This window comes from Homo sapiens, chromosome 16, assembly GCF_000001405.40.
Source record: "Homo sapiens chromosome 16, GRCh38.p14 Primary Assembly".
NCBI classification, from domain to species: domain Eukaryota; kingdom Metazoa; phylum Chordata; class Mammalia; order Primates; family Hominidae; genus Homo; species Homo sapiens.
The window spans coordinates 71,281,392-71,295,423 of NC_000016.10; the positions used below are offsets into that span (position 1 = coordinate 71,281,392).

The 14,032-nt window shown below is 39.9% G+C and overlaps 1 protein-coding gene and 1 long non-coding RNA gene across 14 annotated transcripts in view, besides 2 other annotated features; one reads left to right on the plus strand and one right to left on the minus strand.

Annotated features, from left to right (window-relative positions):
- CMTR2 (cap methyltransferase 2) lies at window positions 1-8,331 on the minus strand. Of its 11 annotated transcripts, none has more exons than NM_001324377.2 (3): window positions 8,296-8,331; window positions 7,487-7,546; window positions 1-4,548 (listed from the first exon to the last, which is right to left on the minus strand). In NM_001324377.2, the coding sequence occupies exon 3, from the start codon at window positions 4,527-4,529 to the stop codon at window positions 2,217-2,219; it is 2,313 nt and encodes a 770-aa protein (NP_001311306.1). In that variant the 5' UTR covers window positions 4,530-4,548; window positions 7,487-7,546; window positions 8,296-8,331; the 3' UTR covers window positions 1-2,216. The 11 variants fall into 11 exon arrangements, with proteins under 11 accessions (NP_001311306.1, XP_016878933.1, NP_001311303.1 ...); XM_017023444.2 differs by having other exon boundaries at window positions 7,165-7,546; NM_001324374.2 differs by lacking the exon at window positions 8,296-8,331 and adding an exon at window positions 7,961-8,011.
- LOC102723786 (uncharacterized) overlaps window positions 7,409-14,032 on the plus strand; it is a 21,164-nt gene continuing 14,540 nt past the window's right edge. For all 3 annotated transcript variants that reach the window (XR_933707.3, XR_933708.2, XR_429763.4), the window contains exon 1: window positions 7,409-7,564. This is a non-coding gene — a long non-coding RNA (uncharacterized LOC102723786). The remainder of the gene's footprint in view (window positions 7,565-14,032) is intronic.
- Window positions 7,764-8,133: a silencer, noted in NCBI's record as "silent region_7675". NCBI's record gives its function as "represses an Ori minimal core promoter by ATAC-STARR-seq in GM12878 lymphoblastoid cells {active_cell/tissue: GM12878}" and the evidence as "EXISTENCE:reporter gene assay evidence [ECO:0000049][PMID:35858748]".
- Window positions 8,214-8,283: a silencer, noted in NCBI's record as "silent region_7676". NCBI's record gives its function as "represses an Ori minimal core promoter by ATAC-STARR-seq in GM12878 lymphoblastoid cells {active_cell/tissue: GM12878}" and the evidence as "EXISTENCE:reporter gene assay evidence [ECO:0000049][PMID:35858748]".

Here is a 14,032-nt window from a genome sequence, read left to right on the forward strand (position 1 = left end):
TTTGATGTTTGTTTTTTAATAGATATTACAAATTAAAAATCTCAAAACCTGTGGAAAAAAGTTTTTAAGAACAGTCTACCTTGGTAAAACATGCATACTCTCACCTCTTCCTGTCTTCTTCTACTTTTCCATTCATCTTTTGAATAGCATTTTTCCTCTCCTTTCTCTTAAAGAGAAACTCATATAAATCATTAGTACCTGTCATCTATTAATATATCCAGTTCAATCTGAACCTTCCTCAAGTCATGTCTAACCTCTAAAGCAATTTGAATCCAATGAATCAGATGAGCAATTGATTCCAAAACCCACGTTAAAAAGCAAAATACATTTGAGAATACTTCAGTGTTATATATTCCAGTACAGATTAGTGTCAACAAAACACTAAGCATTCAATACTTATTTGAAGGGCTTAAAGACAGTAATAATGCTAGAATCTGGACCCATGCCTTCAACTTCATTCTTATCAAATAGTTAAAATAAGTAAAAAATAAGCTGCATTATTAGTATATTGAATCCCACTTAGCAAGGCATAAAGACTATTAAGTGCAAAATGGTTTTCCAAGAGTGTTTTTTTTTTTCCTCCTGGTAATCAACCTTCTGTCAGACTTCCATCGTCATACAACTGGAATTGCTTCCATAGAGTCACCAGTAGGAAATCAGATTTCTTTCAAAAATCTACTTCCAGGCCTCCACACACTCCTCTTCCAATCCCCCTTAAGTATTCAATTTCTTTCCTGAAGTAGGCCTTCCATAAGTATTACAATATTAAGGACTAAATTTTAATGAATGCAAATCAGAGAAAATGAAAGAACATTAACTATCATTCAAAACTCCCTTTAAAAATGTCTGTTTCCAACTTATATTTTTAACTTCTCCCATAATTCCATTTAAAAAAGATGAACACAAAATCTCTCTAGTAATGACTTTATTCATGAATCTATAATGGAATTCAAAATAGCAAAGAACATGAAAATGTTCAGATTAATATTTATTAACCAAATGCATCAGAAAATACATCTATTTTCACATATCAAAAGTGCCTAAAATGCATGTGAGAATATAAATATTCTCCACTTTGTGGAACTTCAAGATAATGAAAAATTGCTTAATACACTTTGCCACAAAAACTCATTACACTGCAAATACAGAAGAAATAAAATAACTCATTACATTGCAGATACAAAAGAAATCAAATGTAACTGGCAAAATAACCATTTCATGGCTAATCTTTTGGTAAAGTGCTATTTTCACACTGAAAAAAAGAAATTAGAAAAGATTAAAAATTTTAAATTCTGAACCATCATTCTGAAAGTCTGAAGCGTTTTCTTTAGTATTCACTATGTTCATCACATTCATGTGTTCCCAACATGAGACTAAACACTATCTCAAAATCTTAAAAAATCTTTCCATTCACAGATTATTTCCTGGAAGTTAAAAATTATTACATCATTGCTAAATGAAGCTTTTCACAATACAGGCGTGTATTAGATACAACAAATAATTTTTCATTGTTCTAAACATGATCTTTGGTTTAAAGCTGTCCCGTTATATTTTTATAGTTGGATGGTGTGGTCAGTAAAAGATTCATACAACAGCATACTAGTTTTATTTGAGCCATGTAAGAAAATAGGGTCAATCACCTAAGGGCAATGAATGGCATGTTATCAAGAATCTGGCGAGATGAATTCCCTGAAATTCATAACTGATGTGTTAACGGAAATCAGTGTTGCTGAACAGTGATTTACTCATTTCCTTTCCTCAATTACCTCTCTCAATTCATTAACAACATTAACCAATGAGAGGAAATTAGTTGGAAAATTCACTAACAGCATTAGCCACTAAGAGGAAATCGGCTGGAAAAAAAAAACTAATCTGAACAAAGGTACACAGATGCAAATCTTAAGCAGATTAAGTAAGACCAACTAAATGGCATAGGTAAGCATGGCTGTGGCCACCCATACACATACACACACCTCATATTTAGAGTGTGAATATCTATCATTGCATAGATTCCACCACGTGGAAGAGCTCTATGCCTGTGGGTGTATATACCCTAGAGATCAGAATGGATGGTTTTCCAGAATTAATGAGACTTTGAATGATGCAAATGTTGGCCTTTCCCCAAAATAAAAGGTTTTTAAATTAATAGAGCAACAGGATGCAAATACTGGGCAAATTATAAGAAATCATAAAGTTGAATCTCAGAAAGCATATGTTCAGTTTTGTAACTGAAGGCTGTTGATAATTTCTTCTCTCTCTCTTTGAATAATGAAATGCAAATGCCTTTTAGCAATGGCAGCATTCAAATCCCACAAAAAATCAAGCAGGGCCCCCTTAAGGAGTACCTCCATTGGCACAAACTGTAAAACCTGCTGGGGTGAGTCAGAGTTGAGCAAAGTGCTCAACAATTCATTCACACTCTGCAAATATCGGAAAACTGGATTTGGAAGGTCCTGATAACCAACACATAGCAGGACTGCGCAGGTCCTCAGGGGATCAGAGGATGTGGGACAAACAAAAGTGATGAATCTAAAACAACTGTGGAGTACAAAGATCAAACCAGCCATAAATCTTGTGAAGCAAGAAAGTACAGGCAAAATCATAACATCTCCTGTATGAAGCTCCCGCAATGAATGTAGAAGGCAGTCCAAAAATAAACGCTGGTAAGTTGGATCTCCATCATGAAGCAATGAACAGCTAAAAGTTGTGAGTTCAGCTGATTCTAGGAGTCGAACTTCCAACGGTATATGCATTTTGATATTACGGAGAGTCGAAAAGCCCACCAGCAGGCACTTTATTTGATTGCTGGGTACTACAACCTGCTCATCCTGAAGGCACTCAGTAAGGCTACACAACTCGGAAAATATCAGTTCTTCAGAAAAAACATGACAAGAACAAGAATACTGCTGTTTTGGCCTAAACTTGGAATCCAAATTAAAAGCTCCTCCTAATGACTTTTCAATTGCTTCATTAAGAGTTTTTAAAATTTCACCATTGCAAAAAGGAGAACATTTTACCTTTGGCAGTTTCTTTCCCTCCAAAATATGCCATAAGTGACACTCAAGATTGGAAGCTGTTCCTTCTAAAATAGAACTCTGCCCAGGATGATATACACCATGTTCTTCAGCCCAACTATTAAAGTATCCTTTGGCTACTTTATCTTTCCATGAAAGGGCTTCTAGCATCTTCCTTTCATTATAAGTTTTAAAATATTTGTTCCTCTGCCCAAACCATTTTGTATTTGTACTACAACCAATACTAGATTTTTTTACTAGCCAATTATTTCTGGAAAGATGTTTCAGTTGAAATTTTTGCATAAAATATTGTATAGCACAATCCCTTAAATTATTCAGCTTTTCTTGTTCCGCCTTTCCCATGCACTCAAATAGACGAATGTTTTCAGAAATAGTCTCTAGCTGATATTTATGAAAGAACACACAACATTCTTCATGTCTCTTAAGAAAAGAATCAGGAATCACATGATGGGGAAAAAGGGCTTTCCTTTTCATTTCAGTCCCAAAATTCAAGGTCATCTTAGATAACAGAGGATGGATGGCCTCTCTCCCCTTATAGTGGAGGCAAACCACATAGACTTCGGAGTTTCCTGCCTTGCTAGTAGCAGGTTTGAAAACATGGACTTGGTCAAAACAACAGTTTAGCAGGTACATCAAGTTTATGGAACAATGTTCAAACATAGTAAACATCTTTAGAACAAAAGAGCCACCGTTTCCAAGAGTGGTCAGAGCAGTGACAACTTCACAGTAATGCAAAGAAGAAACTAAAGCTTCTTGTTCACCTGGGTTTCCTTGGCAATCAAAACTCCCATCTGCAGTGACCAAGTGAACAGTAGCCATGCTGCTTATGAAATTCTGAAGTCCAGTCAAGAATTTCAGGGTCATGATATCACCAGTGTTATCTGGACCAAAGTACCACCAGTGCAAGGTATTTGCAATAAGCCGGTCATCCATAATCATCATGAGGTCGTCATTTGCTTCATGGTATGGATTCAGAGTATTCGCTACCCAACTCCAATGACAAGGAAACCGATGGGATTTTAAGTAGTGGTTGAGACTAGCTATAAAAGCTCCTGGAGCTTCACAAAGGTGTAGAGAATTCAGTTTTCCATTCTGAAAAGCTTCCTGTGGAATAAGTGGAAAGCTGCACAAAATCTCATGGAACTTACACCATGCTTGAGTACAAAGTTCAGCATTCACAGATTTTCTAACATGAGAAATGATTTTCCCCGCTTTATTAGTGAAAGCAGTGTGCTCATGCCACTCATCCAGTTTCTTATCACTCAGTAGGTTTTTTACTTCATTTAGGGAGTTCTTCAAATCAAGAAATGCATTAAGTTCAGTGTGGTCACAGGTGAAAATCTCACTGGGATCTGGTAACTGCCACTCATTATTAAGTGGCTTGCCATAAGAAAAGTTCTTGGCAAAGAGTTCAAAAATGTCAGCAAGAATATCTGGGCTGAATGACGCGGGACTTGCTAGCTGCTGAACTGGTGTCTTTCTGCACTTACTCATTTTCAAATCAAATTAAAATCTAGGAAGAGAAAACACATAATTAAATGAATCAAATTTATTAGTGAGCGAAATCTCATGAGCAGCAAATACGATCACACTCATGACAAACTCCATAAAATGGGAAGGCTAAAGTCAGCATACTCTGTTATTTAACCAAGTAATCTGGAATAATGAAAAAGGCTTTGATATCCAAGACCTGGGTTCAAATTCCAGCTCTGCTAATTATGGCTTAATAAGCACCCTTGGGCAAATTCCATCTCTTGGATTTGGTTTCTTCTCATTAAAAAAAAAAGCCTATCATTTTTTAAGAAGAAGATAAAACATACTAGCATATAAAAAACATATAACAAAGCATAATCATCAGTGAATGACAGCTCTGATTATCATAGTAACCCATCTAACTCTTCCCCAAAGTTCTTCCCTACCAATGACTGTGACAACACCTACATGACCTCAAACAAATCCATCCTTAGAGATTCATCCCTGGACATGACCTTTGTTCAAGCTCTAACATGTGACTTTTCGTTTTTTTTTTTTTTAGTTCCCGTCATACTTTACCTCCTTCAGGGAGAGGATCATGTACCTGAACCCAGTACTGATCCTGCCACAAGCCACTTACCTCACTAGTAGGATTGTTGAATACATCCTCTGTCCAGATTTCATTCTCTAAGACAGGCACTTTGGTGGTACCAATCACCTATACAGGTCATCAACTAACGTTCATCATCATACTGCTTGTAAACTGTGCTGTACTTGAGTGGTTAGCCTTTTTCTGCTTGATGCTGAAAGTGACCAACTGTTTACCCGGTATGTCTCAAACTATAGATTCCTGGCTTTCATATGGTTCAGACAGCTCCACACTTCCACCATAACATATCATTATTTCTTCTAGCCACTAAAACTTAACACTTGGATAGCAGAATTTTATACTGAAGAAATATACATATTGAATATACAAATTACAAATAGTCACTCTACATACTCTGGCAGTCAACACTGCCAAAGAAACCAGAAACAAAGAAACCTCTTCCTTCTGAAGAGGAAAAAGGATATGAGAAGTATGGCTTAATGGCATAGTTTTGGAAAAGTTACAAATTCCAGCAGGGAGAGCAATGAATATTACATGGTACCTGTTAGTGCAATGTTAATCAATAGATGCTTTAGTTCACAAATTCTGCACTTATTTAGCATACACAATGCATTCTACAAATGATTTTCAAAAAAATCTGAATTTGTTAAATATGAAAAAATTGGCAATCAAATCATCACTCCAGAAAAGCAGATGTTCAAGGACAAAATGAGAAACAAAGGGAACTACTGCTGTAATACATACAATAATATTCAGATGATGTTTCTTTTAGCATTTACTTTGTACTGTTCTTTTAGCACACTTTTTTCATTCTTTCTTATTTTGTTTAAATTATTTGCAAGTCTACTCTACCAGTTTGTAATTTCCTTGAAGTAACAGGTGTCTTCTTAGTCATTTGTTTGCCACGGTATATTTATATTAAAAAAAAGTTTTTTTTTGAGACAGGGTCTCACTCTGCTACCCAGGCTGGAGTGCAGTGGCACAGGTCATAGCTCCCTGCAGCCTTGACCTCTTCCCAGGCTCAAAGGATCCTCCCACCTCAGCCTCCAAAGGAGTTGGGACTACAGACGTGCACCACCACACCCAGTTAGTTAAAAAAAAAATTGTGGAGATGGGGTCTTGCTCTGTTGCCCAGGCTGGTCTCAAAATCCTGGGCTCAAGCAATCCCTCCAACTCGGCCTTCCAAGGTGCTGGGATTACAGGTGTCAGCCACTATGCCTGTTTTTTGTTTGTTTCTTTTTTACTGGTAGAGCTATATTTAGACAAATTTCTAAAGGAAGACAAAACTGAGGTGTTTCCACATTCACTAAAATCTTAAAATAAGGGCATATAAAAGTTTTTTTCAACAAGCTCCTCTGTCTTAATTCGCATTGTGCTTGCTGGAAACTACAGCCATGTTTAGATCTCATCTATACTCTATTTCGGAAAAAGTCTAATTTTAATCATTAACTTCACATACTAATTAACGGCTGTAGTTAAGCTGTGAAACCTTACCTAAGCTAATAGGAAATTACCTTCACATGAGGACAACTTAAGTGATTCAGACACTCCACCGTTCTGACTATACTTTTGCTGTGTTGCCACCTAATTTTTATTACTACTCCCTTACTCACTACTCCAGCCAAACAGGCCTTTCTGCTGTTCACTGAAGACACCAAGCACATTCCAAGACAAAAGTCTTTCTGCATTGGTGGTCCCTCTGCCTGGAATGCTCTTTCCCCAGCTGTCAGCACAGCTAACTCCTTCACCTCCTTCCAATATTTGCTCAAATGTCATTTTCTCAGTGAAGCCTACCTAAGATTGCATCTTGCATTCCCCATGCCTCTTACCTCGCTGTATTTTTTTCCTATGGTACTCATGTACTTCCAACCTATAACTTCCTTCTTTTTGTTTACTGTTTATTATTTGTCTTCCCCAAACTAGAATGTAAGCTCCACAGGACAGAGATCTTTGTTTTGTTTACACATAGACCATTCCAAGAAGTTGGACATTGCCTGGTACACAGTAAGCACTCAGTATTACTGAATAAATGAGTGGATATCATACTTAGCACAAAAGGGATCTCTCTCTTCAGGTTCTGAATATGAGTCATTAATAGTGCACCTCAACTTCACTCCAGCACTTAAATGCATGACTTAAAAAAAAAAAAAAAAGCATGTGGCTTACAGCGTGTGTGGAAAAATTTTCCAGTATATGATCCTCTGAGCCTTTCATTAAACAGTCCTTTGAGCTTTGTGACATCATAATTCTGCTAAGTGGGTCGCTATTACCATTCTCATATTGCAAACTCAAGTAGGCAGTTATGTAGCCCCCGCCCAAATTAGTGAACCCAAAACAAAACCCACAAGATCTCATCAACAGTTTTTACCTCACAGCTGACACTTATAAAGGAGTTCCAAGTGCTTCCGCCAACTCCTCCTACCAGCAACTGTGAAAACAACGGCCAGTGAGTATCCAGGGCTGACTTTGGGCCGGGCACCCCATATCTCATTTCATCTAGTGAAGTAAGTCCCAAACCCCACTCCAGAGGCCCGGTCCCTGACCTGGAGGAAACTCAGTCCCAGCCCCTGGCTCACCCGCTGGGAAGTCGAAGGAGGGCCCGGAATCGTACCCAGGCCTGGATTACCTTCGCCCACGCCCACTGGGGCCCCAGTGTCTGGAGAGGCTGCACTTTACTCTCTCGAGGAAGCCATTCTGCACTTCCGCTCTCGGGGCTGCTTCCCGGGATGGTCCCTCCCTTTGGGTCCGCGGCGCCTCCAGCCACAAGGCAGGGAGATGGTGCGCCGGACTGGGGGGAAGGCTGTCCGGACCCGCCCTCGCGGCACCGGGAAGCCAGTCCCACCTCCGGGCCCCGCAGCCGCGAATGCCGGCAGACAGGGACCAGGAGGCACTCAAGTCCCACTGCGCACGCGCCCTGTAGGCCGGGCCGGAGTCACGTGCGCCAACGTTACGCACGCCGGCGACTCTCGCCTCGCCTAGGCCTCAGCTCCCTAGGTTTTGCTTCGCGGAGTACAGAAGCTGGGAGGCGCCAGCCTCCCGCCCCCGGCCACTATGGCAACGGAAGCGGCGCGCGCAGGCGGAGCATTCTTTGGCTCCGTCCCGAAGAGGGGTGAAAGGGAGAGGGACAGGGAGGCGAAGGGGAGGGGGAGGGGGAGGGAGGGAAGGGACGGGGCAAACCTGTCTGTCAGGACGTGCTGGTTCCGCTCACTGGCTGCTGGCCCCAAGGGCTTTCAGACTCTTCTGGACAGTTGTTACTTCCTGTACAGACTGGGTTGAAACTGCAGCTCAAAAGACGATAGGTTAAAAGCCAAACTAGGGAACTGCAAGATAAGATTGTTTATATATACATGACATAATATATATTAATTATGTTGCTTAATAAGCCAATAAGAAAAAGGCCAACAACCCCAGAAGGAAAATGAGCAAATATTAGAACAGGCCTCCCAAAAAACAAAAAAGTCAAACAAATAGCCACTAAGGATATACAAAACTGTTTAAACTATTATTAGACAAGAATGGAAATGAAAACAGCAAGTTTTCTTTTTACTCGGTTTAGCAAAGATGTAAAACCTTGGTAATGACCACTGTTGGTGTGACTATGGGGAAACAGGTTTACATCTGTGGATGGAAGAAAAACGTTATTAGAAACCTTACGGAAGGCAAACTTATTTATTTGTTTGTTTACTGAAACAAGGTCTTACCCTCACCCAGGCTGGTGTGCAGTGGCTCGATCTCGGCTCACTGCAGCCTCAACTTCCCCGGGCTCACGCGATCCTCCTAGAGAGATGGCATCTCCCTATCTTAGGCTGGTCTGGAACTCCTGGACTCAAGCGATCCGTTGGTCTCGGCCACCCAAAGTGCTGGGATTACAGGCATGAGCCAAGCCGCCTAGCCCAGAAGGCAAACGTTGAAAAGAGACATGCACTTTGGCTGGGCGCAGTGGCTCACGCCTGTAATCCCAGCATTTTGAGAGGCCGAGGCGAGCGGATCACGAGGTCAAGAGTCCGAGACCAGCCTGACCAACATAGTGAAACCCCGTCTCTACTAATAATGCAAAAAATTAGCCAGGCGTGGTGGCGGGCGCCTGTAATCCTAGCTACTTGGGAGGCTGAGGCAGGAGAATCGCTTGAACCCGGGAGGCGGAGGTTGGAGCGAGCCGAGATCTCACCACTGCACACCAGCCCGGGCGACAGTGCGAGACTCCGTCTCGGGAAAAAAAGAGGACATGCATTTTAACCCAGCAATTCCTCCTCCTCGCAGTTTATCCTTAGGAGATAATTAAACAGCTGGCACTCACTTTGGACAAAATGTTCATTTCAGCATCTCAATAACATAGCCAAATGGAAATACTCTAAATGTCTACTTTAAGAGAATTAATTAAATTATTACAGTACATCTATATAATGCACATATATGCATTATATGCAGCCATTAATAGGCTGTATGTGTCAACAGTATTGCATGAAAATAGAAGAATATTAGAATTATGTGTAGAGTTTTTAACCATTTATGTAAATAGATATATAGACATAAATGTAAAATTCATTTTTTACAAGTCTTCCAGAACATGGACCAATGGAGAAAAGATTATATTTTCACAAAATAGTGGTAGGTCATTTGTGTCTCTCCATGCAAAAAAAATTGTATTTGGACCCTCCTTACATCATAAACAAAAATACATTTCATTTGGATTGTCAGTCTGTATTTTAAAAGTTAATAAGAAAACATAAGAGAACATCTTTGCAACCTTGAAGTAGTCAAAAAGTTTATAACAGGACACAAAATACTAATCATAAAGGAAAAATGTATAAATTGAACTATATTAAAACTAAAAATATTTAGAGCCTGTAGTCCCAGCTCTAGGGAGGCTGAGGCAGGAGGATGGCATGAACCCAGGAGGTGGAACTTGCAGTGAACCGAGATTGCACCACTGCACTCCAGCCTGGGTGACAGAGCGAGACTCCGTCTCACAAAAAAAAAAAAAAAAAAAAAAAAAGAAAGCACGGGCTGGGTGTGGTGGCTTATGCCTGTAATCCCAGCATTCTGGGAGGCCAAGGCGGGCAGACTGCTTGAGTCCAGGAGTTTGAGACCAGCCTAGGCAACATAGTGAAACCCCGTCTCTACTGAAAAACAAAAAATTAACCTGGCATGGTGGTGTGCACCTGTAATCTCAGCTACAAGGGAGGCTGAGGTGGATCACCTGAGCCCAGGAGGTTGAGGATGCAGTGAGCTGAGATCACACCACTGCACTCTAGCCAGTACAACAGAGTGAGACCCTGTCTCAAAATAATAATAAAGTACAGGGATTTATTGCAAAGTGAATAGCATTTATACAAGTAAGTGCTATATTGTGTGGTACAAGTTAAGTGTTGTAGGAGTCTAAAGAATGAAGTTAGTAGGAAAAATATAGGAAAAGACTAGGGAAAAAGAAACTTTAATTTCTGTTCTTTTAAGGGTGAAGTTACGTGGGGAAGGGGAGTGCCAGCCTAGCTCAGGAAAATAATGAGTGAAAAAACAGGCAAGAGGACAGGTAATGTAGATTTGCAGAAAAGGGATGGAAAGTTAATACGTTTAAATGCTAAATAGGTGGCTTAGGTGCTATATATAGTGTCTTAGCTTGGGCTGTGTATTAGTCTGTTCTCATGCTGCTAATACAGACATACCTGAGACTGGGTAATTTATAAAGGAAAGAGGTTTAATGGACTCACAGTTCCACATGCCTGGGGAGGCCTCACAATCGTGGCAGAAGGCAAAGGAGAAGCAAAGGCACGTCTTACATGGCGGTAGTCAAGAGAACTTGTGCAAGGGAACTCCCCTTTATAAAACCATCAGATCTCATGAGACTTATTTACTATCATGAGAACAGCATGGGAAAAACCTGCCCCCCATAATTAAATTACCTGCCACCAGCTCTCTCCCACAACATGTGGGGATTATTACTTTAAGAGTTAAAGAAAGAGGAAAGAAATATGAAACAAGGCTTAACAGTCAAAGACAGGTTTATTTTAGAGAAAAAACCTGAGGGGGCTTCTGGCTGATTTTGGTCAGGAGCACTTTCTCTTCCCGACTAAGAGTATAAATTGGTTTTAGGGTGAGCAGGTTTATCACAAGCTTGGATGTTTCTTTGGGGGTGGGGGGAGAAGTTTATGGTGGGGTTGGAATGTTTCTATTATCTTGGCCTGACATCTTCCTGGCCAGAGGGGAGTTATCTGAGGCTAGCATCTTCCTGGCCAGAGGGGGCTTATCTTGGGGCTAGCATGTTTCTGATCAGGGAGGAGTTTGGAATGTTTCTGGTCAGAGATGTTATTTGTGGTTTATGTTCATGCTGACCTTAGCCATTAGGCTGATGCCCTTTGGATTTAGGTGGTTTTTGATTAAGGTGAATTTTTAAATGACAGTCCTTGTCCAAGATGGCGATACTCCTGCTCTGTCAATTATAATTCAAAATGAGATTTGGGTGGGGACACGGAACCAAACCATATCAGGCTGTTACAACAAATACCAGAGAGTGTGGCTTAAACATCAGAAATTTGTTTTCTCAAGTGGGAGATTAGAAGTTCGAGATTGAGGCTCTCTTACTGGCTTGCAGATGGCCAGCTTCTTGCTGTATTCTCACATGGTGGAGAGAAAGCAAGCTCTCTTGTCTCTTCTTCAAGAAGGGCACTAATCCCATCATGAGGACCACATCCCCCTGGCTTCACCTAAACCTAATTACCTCCCAAAGGCCCCATTTCCAAATACCATCACACTGGGGATTAGGGAATTTGGGAGGGTGGTGGGATTCAGTCTTTAGCAGGTATTGAGGAACCAGAGTACAGAAGACCATGGAAGGCAGACTGAGGCACCAGATCTGCTGCAATAAGAAATGGTCAAGAGGGAAAGAAATAACTAAGCTTGGTTCTTACAGAGTTAGGAACAGTCATGGCGTAGTCAAATGGAAATATCCATAGGGGAGCTGGAAATCAATGGGTGGCTAAAGTTCAGGTGAGAAAACTGAACTGAGGTAACACTCAGCCCTGTGGATTTTCAAGTACCTACTTTATTATTATTCATTATTAGCAATCATTATGATACTTAATTTAGTAGTGGAATCACTACCCAAAATTGTTAAAGCACTAGCCCTGGGGACTCTCACTTTTCATAGCTTGCCTAACACTGTGGGAGGCTGGGATCAACATGACTTTTTATTTTGAATAGGGAAGGGCATCAGCTCTGGCATCTCAATGCCTGGGTTAAAATCACCACCTACCCTGGGCTAGGAAGACACCTCTGTCCACTAGGTTGTATTGAAGATTACCAAATAAATGTAAAGTGCTTAGAACAGATTCTTGCACTTCGCTGGTATCTGACAAATGTTAGCTGCTCCAAAAAAAAAGTCCGTTCTTTTTTGGAAGATAAGGTGCTAAATTCAGACCCTCCATGAAGAGTTTTCTCTCTTCTGCTATTTCCTTTTATATTCAAAATCCTTAATAGAGCAGAAGAGGAAAGGGGAGGGGAGAGACTAAGAAGAAAAAAGGGAAAAAAGAGAAAACAATTGAGGCCAAATGATTTCATATCTGCTACAGAGAAGCTGTCGGATATATCTGCTTTCTGTCTTCAACAATTTGGACAGGTTTCAAAGAATAGAAAGAAGACAGGCTATAAAATGAATGAACACATGAATCAACACAAAGGCATTTCAAAACCATAGTATGGAATGATAAAGGCAAGTTGCAGAACAATTTTACATTGCCTTAGCATTTTTGTAATGTTTAAAAACATGTGAAACAATTCTGTTTAGTATTCATTTATATAAATATAGTAAAAATATAAAGACGTGGATGAAGAGGATACACACCACCCTCTGAAGAGTGGTAACCTCCAGGGAGAAGGAGAGAATTCAGGATGGGAAGAAGGCATAAAATGAACACCAACTGTATCTGTAATAATTGTATTCTTTTCATTAATCTCTGATGCAATGGCAAAATGCTAGTACAGATGGCCCTCTGTATCTCTGGCTTCTACATCTGTGGATTCTGCCAATCACAGAAATATTTGGAGGAAAAAATCTATGTGGCATCTGTAGTGAACATGTACAGACTCTTTTTCTTATCATTATTCCCTAAACAATACAGCATAGCAACTAGTTGCACAGTATTTACATCGTATTAGGTATTACAAGTAATCTAGAGATGACTGAAAGTATATGGAAGGAAGTGCATTGGTTATATGCAAATACTCCACTATTTTATATAAAGGACTTGAGCATCCATGGATTTTGGTATGCTGGTAGGGAGGTCCTGAAACAAATCCCTCATGGATACTGAGGGATGCCTACTTTTAAAATCTAGGTAGTGAATACATGGGTGTTATACTTTTCTCTTTACTGAATGTTTGAAATATTTCCTTAAAATGTTAAACATAATAAAGGGGACTATCTGCCCCATTCCTAAATCCATTCAATCTCCCGTACATTTTAGAAATTCCTTATTTGCTCAGTTAAATTACATGTAGGAATGATTTCCAGGAATGAGTATGCATCCTAGACTCAATTTGAAAAGAGTATAATGAATTTATTAAAGATCAGTTATGTATTTGTGTTACATTTACATTGCCAAAATATATTCCAGATTCCAAAACATCTAGGTTGAATGTCACACATATTATCATGTCATTGTTAGGTTTTTATTTTGTTTAATTTTATTAATAATCAATAGTAATAGTAATACCACATTTTAAGGCAAGGGTGCTTTGTACTTTACAAACTGCTTGGGTATGCATTAAGACAGGGGATAACACATTACTGGGTATATACCCAAAGGATTATAAATCATGCCGCTATAAAGACACATGCACACGTATGTTTATTGTGGCACTACTCACAATAGCAAAGACTTGGAGCCAAGCCAAATGTCCAACAATGATAGACTGGATT

Bases quoted from the DNA above. Each gene is read 5' to 3' on its own strand.
- CMTR2 (NM_001324377.2), bottom strand. From the start codon at position 4,529: ATGAGTAAGTGCAGAAAGACACCAGTTCAGCAGCTAGCAAGTCCCGCG.